We start from the raw sequence: 20,562 nt of genomic DNA, 5'->3' as shown, positions 1-20,562 counted from the left end.
ATTTTTTGTATTTTTAGCAGAGACGGGGTTTCACCGTGTTAGCCAGGATGGTCTCGATCTCCTGACCTCGTGATCCACCTGCCTCGGCCTCCCAAAGTGCTGGGATTACAGGCCTGAGCCACCTCGCCCGGCCAGGAGTTACGTATTTTTAAAAGTTCACCAGAACGTTGATTTTCAGAGACTGCATTTGTGCTATTCACAGCTGCATTGCAGGTCTCAATACATAGCACTCAGTATAAGCTGGGCCCTTACTGTTTCGCGATATTTTGAAAAAGGATTAAGGACTCAGTGGACATCCACCAAAGCCGAGCTTGATAAAGAATCTGGGCCAGGGCCGGGTGTGGTGGCTCACGCCTGTAATCCCACCACTTTGGGAGGCCGAGGTGGTTGGATCACGTGGTCAGGAGTTCGAGACTATCCTGGCTAACAGTGAAACCCCCGTCTCTATTAAAAATGCAAAAAAAAATTAGCCGGGCGTGGTGACGGGCACCTGTAGTCCCAGCTACTCAGGAGGCTGAGGCAGGAGAATTGCTTGAACCCGGGAGGTGGAGGTTGCAGTGAGCCGAGATCATGCTACTGCACTCCAGCCTGGGCAACAGAACAATACTCCGTCTCAAAAAAAAAAAAAAAAAAAAAAAAAAAAAAAAAAAAAGGAAAGAATCTCACACCTGTAAGTAACCCTGCACTTTGGGAGGCTGAGGTGGGCGGATCACCTGAGGTCAAGAGTTGGAGACCAGCCTGGCCAACATTGTGAAGCCCTGTTTCTACTAAAAATACAATTAGCCGGGCGTTGTGGCTTGCGCCTGTAATCCAAGCTACTCAGGAGGCTGAGATGGGATAATCGATTGAACCAGGGAGGCGGAGGTTGCAGTGAGCCGAGATCGCGCCACTGCACTCCAGCCTGGGCAACAGCAAGAAGAAAAAAAATCTGAAGTAGGGGAGCTTTCAAGGAAGACAAAGATTGGCTAACAATGTTCGATGACTTAGGAAAGAAGATTAACCGTATGATCGGGCAATTTAGGACCTGATTTGTTAACTTTTACCAATGATGTCTAAACAATGCAGTGAGAACAGAGAGACTGGAGTTGAGAAAAGAATGAAAAGAAAGAAAGTGAAGGTGCCTGGTAAAAATGTTTTTGGAAGCAGCTTGATGGGGGCGGACGGGGAAGGTCGCCACCTAGTGTGATTTCAAGGTTACTGAGAATAAAGCACGAGTGGGCGTGGTGGCTCAAGCCTGTAATCCCAGCGTTTGGGAGGCCAATGTGGGTGGATCACTTGAGCTCAGGAGTTCGAGACCGGCCTCGGCGAAGTTGCGTAAACCTAGTGTCTACAAAAAATACAAAAATTAGCTGGGTGTGGTGGCGCGTGCCTGTAATCCGAGCTACTCGCGAGACTGAGGCAGGAGAATTGCTTGAACCTGGGAGACGGAGCTTGCAGTGTGCCGAGATCCTGCCACTGTACTCCAGCCTGGGTGACAGAGCAAGACTCGGTCTCAAAAAATAATAAATCAACAACCACAAAGCGGGCCCGAATTACTGGGAAGACAAAAAAGCCAAAGAACTCAGCATAGGCCCAATCTAATTTTGGTTTGCTCTACTCTCTCAGTCGTTGATATTCTCCAAGACTTCCAGCTCCCAAAATATTTCTTCAACTACCCCAAAGCATCTGGCACTGCTTGAAAGGACCTGCTGGAGTCCCAGGATGAAAGGAGGTTATGTTAACCATCCTTGCGCGGAAATGAAGAAAACCACGAGTTGTTCCTCCTGCTTTTTCCTGTTTTTTTTTTCTGTTGTTGTTGTTGTTGTTGCAGAGGCGCGGTCCACCCTGGAATGAAGTGAGAAACCGAAATCATTTGGGGCTGTTTCCTTCCTGCAAGTCAGCCATTACCTTGCCCAATTCAAACTTTATTTTCACCTGCTTTAATTCCTGCTAGTTATTTTCCTCTTCTTAGAGTTTGACCTCAGGTAAATTAGCTAATCTCTCTGTGCTTCAGTAGTCATCTGTATAATAATATATATCTCCGTAAGGCACTGTAAGATTTAGGTAAGATAATGTCTGAAAACTCTGTTCTTTGGGCCGGCCATATAATGAGTCCTCATAAATTGTAGCAATTAGTTTAAGTAGAACGAAGAATATATGTATCACTCTGAATTAAGATGGATTAATATAAAACACTTGTCGAGGATGAGCTGCATTTTCCAAACCTGGAGGACAAAAAACCCTCCAAGTGTTATTACCTTATTCCACACATTTGGGAAAGTACAATGTCCTAGAGTTGTGAAAAAAGCAGAAAAGCCCACAGTTTCCTTGTCTGTAATATGGAGGTTTTGGTATCTCATAGGGTAGTTTTTAGAATAAGATGAATTAGCAAATGGTTTAATGTTTATAAAACATTAGTTTTATATCTTAGAATGTCCTTATTCAGTGTTAATCTCTGGTCACTCCTGCCTCCAATCTCAGTATTCTGTAAGCAATGATATATCAGGTGATGTGGATCTTCTGTGAGCCTGACAAGGCTTCCGTCCTCACAGAGCGTGCAGTCTATAAATGTGAAAGTGATGGCCACAGGCAGGAGGTTCAAGGTCAGACTGCCTGGGTCAGAGGCTCACTCTGTGCTCTAAACCTTTCTGTCCCCCTGTCTTCAAGTCTAAGTAGGATTAAAATAGGATGCACATTATAAGGGTGTTGTAGGGATTAAATAAGCAAATTGTTTTCACTGGGTGCTCATTGAGTGAATGGGATTTGAAAAGTTAGGTAAAGCCATCAAGAGGTGTGTCTAGGGCAAGGCTGTGCCTAGGGTGGGGCTGTGTCTGGGGCGGGGCTGTGTCTAGGGTGTGTGAGGGAGGGCGTCTCAGGGTTATGTTTGATGATTGCTGCTTCAGAGTTAATCACTTTATCATTCAGAACCTGGACTAGAGATTCATCTGAACTTCCAACGGTGAGTTTCTGTGGTGGACACCAAAGCGTGTTTCTTTTGCAGGAGGCTCCTTACCTAATGCATTAGTGTTTTGTATTAATAGGTGTTTGGGCTTTCACTTTTTTTTTTTTCTTTTGAGACAGGGTCTTACTCAGTTGCCCCGGCTGGAGTTGGGGAATCTTGGCTCACTGCAACCTCTGCCTCCTGGACTCAAAGCTATATTCTCCAGCCTCAGCCTCCCAAGTAGCTGGGACCACAGGCATGCACCACCACACCTGGCTAATTTTGGTTTTTTTGTAGAGACAGGGTTTTGCTATGTTGCCCAGGCTGGTCTCAAACTCCTGAACTCAAAGCAATCTGCTCACCTCAGCCTCACAAAGTGCTGGGATTACAGGCATGAGCCACCCTGCTAGGCCTGACTTTCACCTTTCAAAAGTTCAAGCTTGTAGGCTGGGAACAGCTGATTTCATCAGAGTAATTGTGTGTGGTTGCCGTATGGTAGAATTGGGTATAGGATTTTACTAGAGGCTCAGGTATTTAAATCTTAACCCATCATAGCATTAAGAGAGACTTTATATTTTAGAGATACATATGGATGTATTTTCGGGTGAATGACATGTCTGAGATTCACTTCAAAATAATGAGGGTGGGGTGTCAAGGAGATAAAATTGGCCAGGTATTGCTATATATTAAATTTCAGTGATAAGATCATCAGGCTAATTATACGCTTCCGTCTACTTTCCTGTATGGTTAAATGTAAACAGGGTGAATACTGAAAACAAAAACGTCCTCAAAGCAAAAGAGCTATACTGGAAGAATTGTAGAAATGGCCCTAGGCATTTTTTTCCCTTTTGTTCACAGATTTGATATTTCATGAAATTCAGAAATAATTTGGAGCTTTTCAAACCTGGGATATGGAAGAAACTGACACTCCTGTTCTCTGGGAAGGTGGGCTTGCAAAGTATGGGGATTCTGGATTTCTTTTTCTAGATGAGCCCTGGTTGAGAGAAGTCTCCGGTTAGTTCCAGCGGTGCCTTGTATCTTAATACGTTGTGTTTAATGAGTAATAACCTAAGTCAAAGGTGCCCCGATAATATACAGTGGGCCCAGAAGTCCACTGGGCTCATCACTATATTTCAGAGGCAAGAATCTGCATCAAAGAGCCCTGGAAGCAATCATGGCTCAACTGTGATGCCTTTAGAACATGAAGTCCTCCAAGAAGATGCCATAGGAATGGCCTCCATCCCAGGGCCTGGAGAGCAGCCAGAGACAAGAAGAGTAGCCCAGGAGGGCACTGGCAGTCAGTGCTACACTGTGGCCTGTCAGTCTCAGAGCCAGGATTTAATCACTGGCAGGCAGGCTCCAGAGGTCCTGCTCCTCACTGTGGGTCTATGGCCATACAAAGCAAGTTGGTTTGGTTGCTGTTTTTACTATAGGAACTGAGTGTTTATCGTAAAAAACTTATGTTTTTTACAAGTGTTACGTGTGCACATTTGCTTTTTAGAAATGTTGGGAAGTTTTTATATTGGGTCATGGCATTGGGAACAATATGCTCCTATGAACATAAGTGTACAAATTGCTGTTCAAGTCCATGCTTTCAATGATTGTGGGTATTTACCCAAAAGTGGAATTGCTGAATCATATAATAATATTTAATTTTTTGAGAAACCACCATAATGTTTTTTCTTTTTCTTTTTTTTTTTTTTTAGACAGAGTCTCACTCTGTCACCCAAGCTGGAGTGCAGTGGTGTGATCTTGGCTCACTGCAACCTCTGCCTCCCAGGTTCAAGGGATTCTCCTGCCTTGGCCTCCTGAGTAGCTGGGATTACTGGTGCACACCACCATGCCCGGCTAATTTTGTATTTTTAGTAGAGATGGGGTTTTGCCATGTTGGCCAGGCTGGTCTCGAACTCCTGACCTTAGGTGATCCATCCACCTCGGCCTCCCAAAGTGCTGGGATTACAAGCATGAGCCACCACGCCTGGCCCACCATACTGTTTTTCATGTGGCCACACCATTTTACATTTCTTCACATCCTTGACAACTCTTACTGGGTTTTTTTTTTGTTTTTGACAGTAGCCATCCTATCCTAATGGGGTGAGATGGGGGGTGAGATGATGTGTCACTGTGGATTTGATTTTTTTTTTTCATTTCCCTAATGATTATTGATGGTGAACATTTTTAATGTGCTTAATGGCCATTCATATACCTTTTTGGGAGGGATATCTGTTCAAGTCCTTTGCCCATTTTAAAATCAGGTTTTTTTTTCTTTGTTGTTGGGTTGTAGTTTCTTTTTTTTTTTTTTTTAAGATGGAGTCTCACTCTGTTGACCAGGCTGGAGTGCAGTGGTGAGATCTCGTCTCACTGCAACCTCCCCCTCCTGGGTTGACGCCATTCTCCTGCCTCAACCTCCTGAGTAGCTGGGACTACAGGTGCCTGCCACCACGTCCTGCTAATTTTTTGTATTTTTTAGTAGAGACGGGGTTTCACCGTGTTAGCCAGGATGGTCTCGATCTCCTGACCTCGTGATCCGCCCCCTTGGCCTCCCAAAGTGCTGGGATTACAGGCATCAGCCACTGCACCCGGCCCCAACTTGATTATTTTGCATGTGGATACCCAGTTTCCCACAGCCCTGTTTGTTGAAAAGAATGTCCTTTCCCCAGTGAATGGTCTTGACACCCTTGTGAATCATTTGACCATGTTTGTGAGGATTTATTTCTGAGCTCTCTAGTCTATCCCACCAGTCTATATGCCTGCCTTTGTGCTAGTACCAAACTATAATTGCAATGGTAACCTCAAGAAAATATCTACAGAATATATTTACACTTGTACATCCACTAGTACCACATTGTTTCATCATAGGTTTGTAGTAAGTTTTGGAATCAGGAGGTGTGAGACCTTCAACTCTGTTCTCCTTTTTAAAGATTGTTTTGTCTATTGTGGATACCTTGAGATTCCACATACATTTTAGGATGAAATTTCCTATTCTGCAAAACATGTCTGGGATTTTAAAAATAGGAATTGCATTAAAGATATAGATCACTTTGGGTAGTAGAGCCATCTTAACAATATTAGTTCTTCTAATCCAGGAACACAGGATAGCTTTGTATCTTAATTAAAAAAAAATTTTTTTTGAGACAGGGTCTCACTCTGTCAGCCAGGCTGGAGTGCAGTGGTGTGATCATGGCTCAATGTAGCCTTGACCTCCTGGGCTTGCTCAAATGATCCTCCCACCTCAGCCTCCCAAGCAGCTAGGTTAACAGGCATGTGCCACCAAGCCCAGCTAATTTTTAAAAATTTTTATTTTACCTCTTTTTTTTTGCCAGGGCCTTGCTCAGATGCCCAGGCTAGAGTGCAGTGGCACAATCATGACTCACTGCAGCCTTGAACTTCTATTTTTTTAGAGATGGGGTCTTGCTATGTTGCCTAAGCTGATCCTTGAACTCCTGGCCTCAAGCAGTCCTCCCATCTTAGCCTCCTGAGTCAATGGGATTACAGGCCTGAGTCACTACACTTGGCTAATCTCATTAGTAACTTTATTATTATGTACAGGTATGAGATTGGGCTCCACTTTTTAAAAATTTTATGAAATAGCCAATGATTGACCTTTTTTTTCCCCCCACTCTGGATATTACTAGTATTCTCCAATGCTTTTCTCTTTCTGTTTGTACATTTTTCAGGATCTCCCATTAACCAGTCATAATGAAGTAAGAACAAGAAGATGGGGAAGAGGAAGTGTAAAACCGTGGCTTAAATTTGCCAAGGATAAGCTGAGTGTACTTCAGCAGTCATTTGCACAGAATCCTTATCCTAATTTTACAACCAGGGAAAAACTGGCTGGACAGTCTCTTGTCCTGTGTTTGTAATTGATGTAAGTAAAATATTAAAAGCTTTGCATGGGTATGTCTTTTTATAGATAATGTGGAAAATGTAAAGAAGCATGAAAAAGTTTAATAGCATTTTATCACATAGCACAAAGTGATTTTTTTAGGCTGGGCGCAGTGGCTCATGCCTGTAATCCCAGCACTTAGGGAGGCTGAGGCGGGCAGATCACTTGAGGCCAGGAGTTCGAGACCAGCCTGGCCAACATGGCAACACCCCATCTCTACCAAAAATACAAAAATTAGCCAGGCAGGTTGGCACGTGCCTGTAGTCCCAGCTACTTGGGAGGCTGAGGCAGGAGCATTGCCTGAACCTCAGAGGCAGAGGTTGCACAGGGCCAAGATGGCACCACTACACTCCAGCCTGGGCAACAGTGAGATTCTCAAAAAAAAAAAAAAAAAAATTTGATTTTTTTTTTTTGGTTGTTGTTCATCTCAATGTGGGTGTGAATATATTATATATGCATTTTATGGAAAATAGACTATTGTGAGGCAAATTTGGGAGCAGTGTTAAGAAGCTACTGTAGGCTGGCTGCGGTGGCTCATGCCTATAATCCCAGCACCTTGGGAGGCTGCGGTGAGCGGATCACCTGAGGTCAGGAGTTCAAGACCAGCCTGGCCAACATGGTGAAACCCTGTCTCTACCAAAAATATAAAAATTAGCCGGGCATGGTGGCACGCGCCTGTAATCACAGTTACTCAGGAGGCTGAGGTAGGAGAATTTCTTAAACTCAGGAGGTGGAGGTTGCAGTGAGGCAACATCACGCCACTGCACTCCAGCCTGGACGACAGAGCGATACTCTGTTTCAAAAAAAAGAAAAAGCTATTATTGTAATTTTCCAGGATAGAGACAGTGATGGTTTTGACAAGGGTGCTGGCTGTGGAATTAGAGAACTGGGAAGACCTTTAATTTTTAAAGGTGGAGCGGCTTATAGTTTGCTGAGTTATTGGGGATGCCAGAGGTAAGGATAGCTCCAAAGTTTTGGCTTGACATGGAAGATTGGAGATGCCTTTAACTAACAGGGGAGCTTGGGAGAAGAGCACTTTTGTGTCAGACATTTGGAGTTTTACTTTGCACACGTTAAGTTTGGTGTGCCAATTAAACTTCTAAGAGTTTACTTACTCCAAGGAGTAAGTAAAAAGTTAGGCATGCAAGTCTGAAGTGCAGGAGGAAGAACTTGGCTTGATAGTGTCACGGGACTTGGCACAGAACCCCACAGCATCAGTAGTTGCTTCATAACCATTTATTGCACGAACTAATATTTTGTTTGGTGATTTTCTGATATGATCATTGTAAATTGTTAAAGCACAACATCTTATTGTATTTGAATTTATATTATTTACACATACAATATATTCTCTAATCCCCTGACAGATTATATATACACATTTAAGGAGACTTTCATATTTCTCATCTGTGATTATCCTTTGACTATTGAATATATTGGTTGCTTGACAGAAGGACAAAATTGTGTTAGTGAAAACAAAGAATATAAGCAACTTTGGAGAATAAAGGAAAAGTATAGGCAAATATTGTGTAATGAAATTTTTATAAAAGTTTCGTGAAGTAGGCCAGGCATGGTGGCTCATGCCTGTAATCCCAGCACTTTGGGAGGCCGAGGTGAGTGGATCACCTGAGGTTAGGAGTTCAAGACCAGCCTGGCCAACATGGCAAAAACCCATCTCTACAAAAATACAAAAATTAGCTGGGAGTGGTGGCAGACACCTGTAATCCCAGCTATTCAGGAGGCTGAGGCAGGAGAATCGCTTGAACCTTGGAGACAGAGGTTGCAGTGAGCTGAGATGATGCCACCGCACTCCAGCCTGGGTGACAGAGGGAGACTCCATCACAAAAAAAAAAAAAAAAAAAGCTTCATGAAGTGAGAACATTTCAAGGGAAATACAAACAAATGCTTTCCTGCAAATAAGTAGAAAATCCAAATAAAGTAAATAACCAGGATAGAAATGGAAGGACTGATCGATTTCTTTTTTTTTTTTTTTAAGTGACAGGGTCTCACTCCGTTGCCCAGGCTGGATTTCAGTGGCGCAATTGTGGTTGACTGCAGCATCGACTCCCTGGGCTTAAGTGATCCCACCTCAGCCTCCTGAGTGGCTGGGACCACAGGACATGATGCCTGGTTAATTTTTTTTTTTTTTTAATGTAGAGATGGGGTTTTGCCATATGGCCTAGCCTGGGCTCAAACTCCTGGGTTCAAGCAATCCTCCTGCCTCAGCCTCCCAAAGTGCTGGGATTACAGCATGAGCCATTGCGCCTGGGCTTGGTCAAACATTTAAATGAACGTTCTTATACTGTTCATTTATTTACATTTCTAACTTTGTGACAGTTGGGTTGCTCATGGTCAAAAGTGCTTTTTAATTATGTTTTATCCTTTCTACTTGTCAGAGGGATAGATTCCTAAAAGGAAGTTCATAGATAACGGCTAATCAAATTACACTGAATTGAACTGGCCTGCATGTGCTTAAAGAAAGTGCCCATGATGTGATCAGGAAGCAAGCATGTTTGAGGGGAGGGCCACAGGAGGCTCTGTCATGAGAGAGTGAGGTCTTGTCTTTTGGTTGGGTCCTCATGAGATCTACCTCCTAATGGCTCTATAACATCTGACTTATAGAGGTGCAAGTTGACTTATAAGGTGCAAGTTGACTCTTGCACCTTATCTTTTTGTAAAATATGTATAATTATGTTGTGATGGTGTTGTGAGAAGAAAATGAGTATATCTGGAGGTGCCAGGTTCATTGTGCATGGTCACAATTTTATTTATTTGTTTATTATTTATTTATTTTGAGATGGCGTCTCACTCTGTTGCCCAGGCTGGAGTGTAGTGGCACAATCTCAGCTCACTGCAGCTTCTGCCCCCTGCGTTCAAGGGATTCTCCTCCCTCAGCCTCCTGAGTAGCTGAGATTACAGGCATGCGCCATGATGCCCAGCTAATTTTTGTATTTTTAGTAGAGATGAGGTTTCCCCATGCTGGCTAGGCTGGTCTCGAACTCCTGATGTCAGGTGATCCACCCACCTCAGCCTCCCAAAGTGCTAGGATCACAGGGGTGAGCCACCGCGCCTGGCCCACAACTTTGTTTTAAGCAGTCATTATAGGTGTGGATCAGACATCTTTCTAGCTTTAAGCGCTATTAACCTAAAGCAATTCTGAACTTGCAGACAGAGGGGTTCCTGGAGGGATCAAATATTAAAAGGCCCCCAGACATCCTTACCTGCATGGTAGGGCTCTAGGTGCGGTACCACAACAGAGCTTATTAGGATGGAGAGTCTAAAACAGTGTTGATCATTTCTCCCTCCCCTAAACCCCTAGGGATTATGGTTGGCAGGTGTAATTATCCTCTCTTTGTGGAGGAGGGAAAAAAATGAAGACTAGAGGTGTCAAATGGAATGCTTAGAGTCACGTGTAAGATGCCTTGCCAGGTTATTACAAACTCTTGCTTGTTCCTTTTTTTTTTTTTTTTTTTAGATAAAGTCTTGCTCTGTAACCCATGCCAGAGTGCAGTGGCACAATCTCATCTCACTGCAACCTCCCCCTCCTGGGTTCAAGCAATTCTCCTCCCTCAGCCACCCAAGTAGCTAGGATTGCAGGCACACACCACTATGCCCAGCTAATTTTTGTATTTTTTTTTAGTAAAGACAGGGTTTCACCAGTTGGCCAGGCTGGTCTTGAACTCCCAACCTTGTGATCCACCTGCCTCAGCCTCCCAAAGAGCTGGGATTACAGGCATGAGCCACTGTGCCCGGCCAACTCTTGCTTGTTTTATGCATAGTCTTTGAATACAGTGAATTTAAGAGTATAATTTAGAGTATATTGAATCACAAGTTTATCCTGGTAGGTCAGCGTGAGTAAAATAAATAAGTTAGGGAAAGGCTGGAAGTCTGTTCTTTCCAAATGCGGAGGATTGCAAACAGGTTGGTAGGAGATTTTGAAAGGTCCAGGTTTGCATGTACAAAAGGGCCACTGCAACTATGAGGCAGTTGAAATTTTGGGATTGTGCACAATTTATAACCTCCATAATGTGCAGCCCCACAAAGGATTGCCTTCATTCTTTGTGTCTTATTCAAGTCAGGAAACAAGCCGGTGATCATCCTGAGACTAAACTTAACTGTAAAATTCTACATTGTGGAAATGCATTGTACAATATGTCTTAACCAACAGATTGAATTAACAAACTGTTCTTTCTCTTTAGAACTGGTTTCAAAATAAAAGCCAGACCACCACTTAGAGAGAGACACAGAATGTTCACTGCCAGGGAACTGCATGATTCCTCTGCCAAAGGCCACCCATTTACAAGAATCCAGGAAAACCAGGTGGAATCTCCCAATGATGACCCTGAGCAGAACTTCTTGTACCCAGGAAGTTCTACTGGGTGGAGCTGGCCACTCTTCCGTGGAGACACAGGGGACTCCCAATTAACATGATGGCTCAAATAACTGTAGCCTTATGGATTAAAAGGAAACTAAGCTGTGATTTGGAGTATCCAGGTGATACAGAAAATGGCCCTTGTCGATGTAGATCAGCATTATTTCCTTATCCTTCTGCATCTCCTCCTCAGTATTCTGAAAGGGACAAGCCTGAGATGGGGGAAAGCCAGCATGCAAGGCCCTCCCCTTTGTGCTGTGTTCATGGTGTGCACGGAGAGAGGCAGCAGCAGGAGGAACAGAAAGGTTATTTTCTTTACTGACTCTTTCAAGGACATCAGCAGAATGGTTGGGAATGTCATCATGAGCAGCCTCAGCCTCAGAATTACCAGGAGAAGCTGGTCTTCCAGGATCAGGTTCTAATGTATATGAGTCACAGGATTTAGGGAAGCAGGCACTTTCCCTTCAGTCCCAGCAGCATGGTTGATGTTCCCAAGTAATGGAGAGTCCCTGTGCTCTCAGTTGTGGCACACACCTTTGCAAATAGTGATCAGATCTCCACAAACGCCTCTTGGGTAAGATATGCAGCAACATAGCTGGCTGCAGAGCAACCCAGTTCCCAAATCCAGCAGCTCTTGGATGAGAAGTCTGCAAGTGTTTACTGCTGGGACCAGGACTGTGTTTCTAGGAAATGGTGCTAGGCTTCAGAGAGCATCATCCACAGGTCATCCCACAACCATCCACACAGAAGCCTGAGGAAAAGGGCTCTGCAGAGCTTGCACATAAAGATGCTGAACTCAGGAAGGCTCTGTGAGCTGCTGGTCTCTTCTGGTAGGGCAGCAGTGTCCTGAGAAGGTGGAGCTAGAGTATGGAGAACAAAACTAACAAGCACCAAGGCAGCAAGCAAGGCAACCCCCAAATGACAGCAGTTGCCAAATCCAAAGCAATCTGTGCTTCAGAAGACAGAGGCTCTGCACAGTCCCTGTCTCAGACATTGTCTCCTCCTTAGAAGATACCTAACAACAGCACTGTGGGAGGCTGAGGTGGGTGGATCACCAGGTCAGGAGATCAAGACCATCCTTGATCTTTAGTAGAGACGGTGAAACACTGTCTCTACTAAAAAATACAAAAAAAAATTAGCTAGCCGTGGCGGCGGGCACCTGTAGTCTCAACTATTTGGGAGGCTGAGGCAGGAGAATGGCCTGAACCCGGGAGGCAGAGCTTGCAGTGAGCTGAGATTGCGCCACTGCACTCCAGCCTGGGCAACAGAGTGAGACTCCATCTCAAAAAAAAAAAAAAAAAAAAAAAAAAAAGATACCTAACAAGCAGTACAAGAATATGAAGGACCCCACTGCCCAGACTTTGTATGGAGGGGTGTCTAAGGTGGCTACAGCAAAGCTGTCATCTCCATCGACCGGGACAGCATCTCCAGCCATGATGTGTGGCCTGCTGGAACAGCAGCCATGTGTCCTTTCACAGACAGCCCACCAAAGCTCTGACTGTGAAGGACATCCCAACATCAGCCTAGCCTGCATACACTTAAGGCATAGAATCACCTGAGGCTTCTCCGTTGAAGACAGGGACTCCCGATGGAGTTGCAGCCCCAGCTTTGCACTGTAAAGAGCCCCAGGGGGCTTCTGTGCTAGAGCAGGTGTGCAGACCCCTCCTCACCCCCTTCACTGAGAGCTGCTGCCTGGAACCAGTGTTTTGACTGAGTCACCTCTGGACGTGGGCCCACAAGATCTGAGAGTGCCCAGACGAGAAGTTGAATGCCTTGTGTTGACCTGAGTGTTTGGAAAAAAGCCCCAAACTTTGAAACAATTTTCATAATTTTGAGCTTCAGGATGTGGAATCACTTCTCAAGTATTCTGGAGTTCTGTCCATCAGAGCGGGTCCTGCCAATGCTGCCCTGTGCAGCGCTTCAGGCTGCATCCCTCCCACTAGGGGGCGCCTTTCACATAGTGGCGCCTGCCTTCTAGAGGAGCAACATTTCCTGAACTGCAGGGTTCCCTCGGGGCTTTGTGTAAAACACATCCACTGCATAGAATTTGTGTTATTTCCATTTTGTTTTCTTGACAATATTTAATTAATTACAAAATGATGTATGTTATGATAGTTTAAGCAATACAGAGAGTAACCAAACAAAAGCTTGGTCTTTTATTCTCGCACTCTGAATTTACAGTCCTGAAAACTCTAAACTCATCATATAATCTATATTGTAAAGACTTTGATAATCCCTTCCCTTGCCTTTCCTTTCCCCATTCCCCCTTCCCCTTCCTTCTTCTACATTGTATGATGTTTTTCATATTTACATTCTAACCAATTGTGTCATGTGATACTAATTTGCAGAATAAAGCATGTTTTGCACATATTTCCAAGTCATATAACATGCAGACATACTTCATTTTGTAAATATCTTCCTTCTCTTACTATAAGATTGAGAATAGGTAAAGAGCAACTCTCCAATGCAGGTGATGAGTGTGATTTGCACTATCACTTTGGACAGCCAATTGGAATATTTATTGAAGTCATAGATGCCCAGCAATTCTGTTACTGGATGTGTCTCATAGACAAACTCTTGGACATTCTTATAGAACACTGAGCCCAAAGAAGACACATCATATAATGTAAGAAGCTAGGACAGCTTAAAAAAAAAAGGCCTAGATCTGTGTAATTGTGTGAGTGTTCTCGGACATACTGTTTGTAAAAAATCGAGTTATTGAGTAGTTTGATAATATGATAATCATGAAAATAAAGGATAAAGCAGCGAGTAATTATTATTCTTCGATATATACCTGCATTCACACATGGAAAAGATACAAAAAAATGAATGGGGTTTACATTCACTAAATTACTAAAGTTACATTTGGATAAGGAAGAAAAATGTTTTTTTCTTTAAAGTTATGAAACATACCTTGTAAAATCAAAGGCACAGCACTTTGATTCAATGAATAAAAGAGATACCACAGATTTGTCCCTCACCAGTGAGGGGTGAGGTATTCCAACCCTGCAAGCAGATGTACATGTTGAAACTATCTTCAAGAAAACAGAACCAGGGCTGGGCGTGGTGGCTCATGCCTGTAATCCTAGCACTTTGGGAGGCCAAGGTGGGTGGATCATGAAGCCAGGAGTTCGAGACCAGCCTAGCCAATATGCTGAAACCCCGTCTCTACTAAAAATACAAAAATTAGCCGGGTGTGGTGGCACGCGCCTGTAGTCCCAGCTACTCAGGAGGCCTAGGCAGGAGAATTGCTTGAACACGGGAGGCGGAGGTTGCAGTGAGCCGAGTGCACTGCACTCCAGCCTGGGCGACAGAGCGAAACTCCATCTCAAAAAGTAAATAAATAAATAATAACAATAAAATAAAAATAAATAAACTACATTTCTCTCAAAGTCAGCAGCTTGATCTATGTCCAGGAATGACCGAGCATAGCTTGGAGGTTAGAAACAAGATGGAGTCAATTTTGTCAGACTCAAATTACTGTCATAATTTTGCAAAGGTGGTTTCAGAAGGTGACCCTGTCTTTGGAGCCAAGAATGGGGAGTTAGTGCCTAGAGGCAGAATTGAGATTGGCTTGTCATTACTTGAGATTGTATTTTAGGCTCTAGAGAGAAAGGTCTGAGCCTGGTTCTGGTGGGAATGTTGGGCCTCATTCCCCGGCAGGGGCAATTGGAACTTTGAGCAAGCTGGGAGTGTGAAATGAAGCTCTAAAGACGTCCAGAGGAGATGGACGTCTTCTGGCTGAAAGAGACACTCAGATGAAGATGATGGGAGCCAAGGGGCCATGGTGGGGTGAGAGAAGAGCAGTCATGCATTCCTCTTCCCAGGAGAGGGCAGATCTAGACAAACATCCTGTTTGCACCTCTGAGCTAAGATGGCTTCTGAAACCAGAGCCGAGACACGTGGCTGGAAATCTCCTGCCAGCTGCCTGAAAGGGGCACCCTACAGAGACCACTGGCTTTGGGCTTAGAAACTACCCAACTGAGACACAGTTATTTTCAACCAGTGAGGTCTGAACCAGTTTCAATCCTCATTTGCATGTACAGACCATATTGACGTCTAGCGCAGGACCTTTCCCTATTTAAGCCAGGACCTCTTTTTGTTCTTTGGAGCTCAATTTTTGTCTTACACTGGAGCCTGTGTCTCCCCGATCCGTAGATTTTGCATTTATTTATTGTTATAGACAATAAAGCCTTTAGGCCGGGCGCAGTAGGTCATGCCTGTAATCCCAGCACTTTGGAAGGTTGAGGTGGGCAGATCACTTGAGCTCAGGAATTCGAGACCAGTCTGGACAACATAGTGAAATCCCATCTGTACAAAAAATACAAAAATTAGCGTGGTGCAGTGGTCTGAGCCTATAATCTCAGCTGCTCAGGAGGCCAAGGCTGGAGAATTGCTTGTGCCCAGGAAGCAGAGGTTGCAGTGAACCAAGAACGTGCCACTGCACTCCAGCCTGGGTAACAGTGTGAGACCTGGTCTCAAAAAAAAAAAAAAAAAGATTTTTTTCTTTTTCTTTCACACACCTCATGGTCTCTTGCTAACAGGAGCTGATAATTTGTGTTTGGTTGCAAACAAAGGACTTTGTACCCCACACAGAGTCTCCAGGGCTCACAGTGTAGTCCCTCCACTCTCCAACCAGCTCCAGCTGGAAGCCAAGGTTGGAGAGAAGTAGAAGGGTGGCAGGTGGCAGTCCAGGTGCAGTGGGGAGCCTGCTGTGGGGATATGGATAGTTTGGATAGTCCCTGGTCATCTCATGGTGTCTCCTTAAAGGAACTAACCTGTCCCTCTGCAGCCTCCCCTGTCCAGGTGAAGTCCAGGTATGGAGAGCTTTCAGGTAAATAAAGTATTCACTCTCTTGAAAAGTGGGTTATAGTTCTTAGCTCAGACATGATGTGGCCAAAAGAAATTCCTATAGGAAATTTCACTGGTGTTTCTATCAACTTACAGTTCTCCATCTGGATCTTAGATCTTCTGTCACTTCATGCCCTTGGTAGCCCATCATAATAGTTGAAATGTCAGCTGTAGATGTGTTGATATCCTCAAGAATAGGAGAAGCCACTTTGGGAGGCTGAGGTGGGCAGATCATTTGAGGTCAGGAGTATGAGACCAGCCTGACCAAGACGGTGAAGCCCCGTCTCTAATAAAAATATCAAAAAATTAGCCAGGCAAGGTGGCCTGTGCCTGTAATCCCAGGAACTTGGGAGGCTGAGGCAGGAGAATCTCTTGAACCTGGGAAGTGGAGGTTGCAGTGAGCCGAGGTCATGCCACTGCACTTCAGCCTGGGCAACAGAGCAAGACTCTGTCTCAAAAAAAAAAAAAAAAAAAGAAAAAAAAGAATAGGAGAAGCTGATTCTGATGGAGGAGTATCTGCCTATTTGCATGCCCATTCTATAATTTTTTAAAAAGTCAAGTTGAGTTTTATAAATACCTAGACTGATAGGTGGAAGAAAAATAAACAATCATGGTTTCCACAAAAGTTTATTTCTTTGTGCTTTCTATCCCATAATCAAAATCTAATTGCAAAATCAAATACTTTATTCACTGAAAAGATTAAGTAAAATTGAGGAATTCTTATGGAAGTGTAATTGAAAAAAATGGTCCTATGATTTGTTTGTCCTCTCTGAAATTCCTGCTGAAACGTAATCTGTGAAGTAACAGGATTAAAACTTGGGTCCTTTAAGAGATAATTATATCATGAAGTCTCTGCTTTCTTGAATGGATTAATGCATTCCTGAGTGAGTGGGTTAATGGTTCAGTAGCAATAATGGTGTGTGAATTATCATGAGAGAGGGTCTGTTATAAAAGCCTGTTCGGCTCTGTCTCCTGCGACTTCCCTCCATGTGATGCTGTCCACCATGTTATGATGCAGGATGAGGCCCTTGCCAGAAGCCAACCAGCTGCGGCCCAGGGACTGTGGACTTCCCAGCCTCCAGCACTGTAAGAAATAAATTTCATTACATGGATGTATTACATGATGAAAAAAAAAAAAGATCAGGCCCAGTAACTCATGCCTGTAATCACTGCAGCCCTGACTCTCAGCCTCAAGTGATCTTCTCACTCCAGCCTCCTGAGTAGCTGGGACTATAAGTGCGCACCACCACACCAGCTAGTTGTTTTATTTTTTGTAGAGACAGGGTCTTGCTGTATTGCCAGGGCTGGTCTCAAACTCCTGGGCTCAAGTGATCCTCCTGCCTCGACCTCCCAAAGTGCTGGGATTATAGGTATGAGGCACCATGCCCCACCAGATAAACTTTAAGTAGTGATTTGGCATATACTAGGGACATTCCCTTGATTCTAAAAGGACATCTGAACCCATTGGGAAACATCTTTCTTTCATCTGGATCATCGTGTTTCTTCTCTGAAGAACAGCTGGTGCTTTGGTCTCTACCCTTGGGTGTAGGCCTAGTGATGTAAAGTAACCTTGAGATATCTCTTTTTCTTGGTTTTATGTTGTGTTCTTGTCGTTGTTTTATTTATTTTTATTTTTTCTTTTCTTTATTTCTTTTAATAATAGAAATGTGTTCAGATAGAAATTCACAGTTACTGCTTTAAGAATACCAGCCCTGTCAGTGCCAGTGGGAAATCTGGTTCTGTTTTCTCTTCTCTTTTTTTTCTGAGATGGAGTCTCGCTCTGTCTCCAAGGCTGGAGTGCAGTGGCAGGATTTCAGCTCACTGCAACCTCCAGCTCCCGGGTTCAAGCGATTCTCCTGCCTCAGCCTCTGGAGTAGCTGGGATTATAGGCACCCACCACCACGCCCAGCTAATTTTTGTATTTTTATTAGAGATGGGGTTTCACCATGCTGGCCAGGCTGGTATGGAACTCCTGACCTCAGATGATTTACCTGCCTCAGCCTCCCAAAGTGCTGGCATTACAGGCATGGGCCACCACGCCCAGTCCTGGTTCTGTGGTTCTGTTTTCTTGAAGATAGTTTCAACATCTCCATCTGCTTGCAGGGTTGGAATATCTCACGCCTCACTGGCGAGGGACAAATCTGTGATGTCCCTCTTACTCATTGAAACAAAGTGCTGTTCCTTACAATGGCCCTGAGACGATTGATTGATCTTCACTTTTGATTGAAAAGTACTTTAGGACATGGAAAAGTAAATCCAAAGAGGCTTTTCTTTTACCTTTTGTGCTTTTCTCTAAAAGTACAAATAATCTACCACTACTCAAGGATGAAGAAATATTTGGGTCACTCTACCTTTTCTTCCACATGTAGAAAACATTGGGACTTTATTTCTTTATATATATACATATACATATACATATACATATACATATACATATACATATATATATATATATATATATATATATATATATTTTTTTTTTTTTTTCCTGAGATGGGGTCTCGCTCTGTCTCCCAGGCTGGAGTGCAGTGGCAAGATTTTGGCTGACTGCAAAGTCCACCTCCGGCATTCAAGCGATTCTCTTGCCTCAGCCTCCCGAGTAGATGGGATTGCATATATAAAATATTTATATTATATATTTTATATATATATGTAGAACCCCTAGGTTAAAGCAATCTGCTGCCTTGGCCTCCTAAAATCTTGCCATCACAGGCTGAGCTACTGCGCCCAGCCTGCGTCTTTATTTAGTTCAATTGTGTTTCCCTCTGTTTCTGTACATCACGTGACCACCTGAGCAAACATCTCCCCATGATCTTCGATGTGATAATGAATCTTGTTTTATTGGTGTACCTCTTTAGGCTTTGAGCCTGAGAGAATGACAAGCGTCCTTGAATATTTCATTTAGAAATTAAATTTTGTGCTCTTCCAATCTTCCAGAAATTTTACTTCTGTTGAAAAAAAGGCCATAAGATGCAATTATAACAAATGTATTTCTGGGAATGTAGAGAAATACTTTTAAAAGACTCAGTTCTAGATCCGGCACCTCATTGAAGACTTCGTTGCCTGACCGCTTTCTAGGAGACTGGAGTCGAAGGCCGTGAGTCAGCCATGATGGCAGCTGAAGAAATTAATGACTCTCCAGTAGAAATTCACGATTATTTGTCAGCATTTGCGAATTCCATTGATGCTGTGGATGAGATGCTGAAGAACATGATGTCTGTTTCTAGAAATGAGTTGTTGCAGAAGTTGGACCCACTTGAACAAGCAAAAGTGGATTTGGTTTCTGCATACACATTAAATTCAATGTTTTGAGTTTATTTGGCAACCCAAGGAGTGAATCCTAAGGAACATCCAGTAAAGCAGGAATTGGAAAGAATCAGAGTATATATGAACAGAGTCAAGGAATTAACAGACAAGAAAAAGGCTGGCAAGCTGGACAGAGGTGCAGCTTCAAGATTTGTAAGAAATGCCCTCTGGGAACCAAAACCGAAAAATGCATCCAAAGTTGCCCATAAAGGAAAAAGTAAAAGTTAACTTTTTGATATTGATGTACACATATTCAAAAAGTACATCTCTTTTTTTCCCACAAAATAATTCTGTGGCAGTGCAAGGTTTAAAACTATTCCTTGTTGAATTAATATGTAAATTTACAGTAAATTTGTAAAGCTCAATACTTTCCTCTCCAAAGGTTGTTATCTTTATTGATTTGCACTATGAGGATTTTAACATTGTGATATATTTTATATTTACAATTTACCATCTCTTTTGAAGAGACTCTTATTTCTTTATATAGGTCAGTCTTGCAAGTACCATTTTCTTAGCAACTGTGAAATTTAAGTGAAATATTCTTTGTAAATATTTGTACTATTTTCAATGAAATAACACACTTATACCATCCACAGACACATATAAAATACTCAATAAAGGCCATTTAATGTAGCTGATTGGATGTAGCTCCAGATACAATTAGTCACTTCCCCAATTCACTGTCTATTTCTTCTTTCTCTTAATTATTTTGAGCTTATCAGTTGTAGCAAAAGCACACATTATTTTTCCTCTGTAGTAGTGTAGACAACTGAAATGATCTCTTGGTAGAAGTTTTAATCCAGTGATTGCTTTATTTTATTTTATTTTTTATTTTAGATTTGAAGTTTCATGTGCAGGTTAGTTACATGGATATATTTGCACATACTGCAAATCAATTGTCCTGAGGTTTGGGCTTTTATTGATCCTGTCACTCAAAAAGTGAACCTAGTATTCTATAGATAGTTTTTCAACCCTTCCCGCCTCCCTTCCTCCTCCTCTTTTGGAGTACCCAGTGTCTTTTGTTCTCATCTTTATGTCTGTGTGTACCCAGGGTTTAACTCCAAGTTACAAGGGAAAACATGCAATACTAGGTTTTCTGTTTCTGCATTAATTTTCTTAGAATAATAGTTTCTAGCTGCATCCATGTTGCTGCAAAGTCTGTGTTTTCATTCTTTTTATGGCTGTGTAGTATTCCATGGTGTGTATGTACCACATTTTCTTTATCCA

General features: G+C 43.1%; 1 long non-coding RNA gene and 1 pseudogene across 5 annotated transcripts in view; both read left to right on the top strand.

Moving 5' to 3' along the window:
* The window catches only part of TMEM254-AS1 (TMEM254 antisense RNA 1), a 32,961-nt gene extending 19,010 nt beyond the window's left edge, over nucleotides 1-13,951 (top strand). For 2 of the 5 annotated variants that reach the window (NR_027431.3, NR_027430.1), the window contains exons 3-5: nucleotides 3,779-3,865; nucleotides 6,598-6,788; nucleotides 11,006-13,951. This is a non-coding gene — a long non-coding RNA (TMEM254 antisense RNA 1). Of the gene's footprint in view, nucleotides 1-3,778; nucleotides 3,866-4,057; nucleotides 4,269-6,597; nucleotides 6,789-11,005 lie in introns of all 5 variants that reach the window. The other 3 variants (NR_027428.1, NR_027429.1, NR_027432.1) reach the window with 3 other exon arrangements.
* Nucleotides 19,086-19,920, top strand: C1DP4 (C1D nuclear receptor corepressor pseudogene 4; annotated as a pseudogene).

This window comes from Homo sapiens, chromosome 10 (genome assembly GCF_000001405.40).
Source record: "Homo sapiens chromosome 10, GRCh38.p14 Primary Assembly".
Taxonomy (NCBI): Eukaryota; Metazoa; Chordata; class Mammalia; order Primates; family Hominidae; genus Homo; species Homo sapiens.
This window is presented reverse-complemented; position numbering and strand designations above follow the sequence as displayed.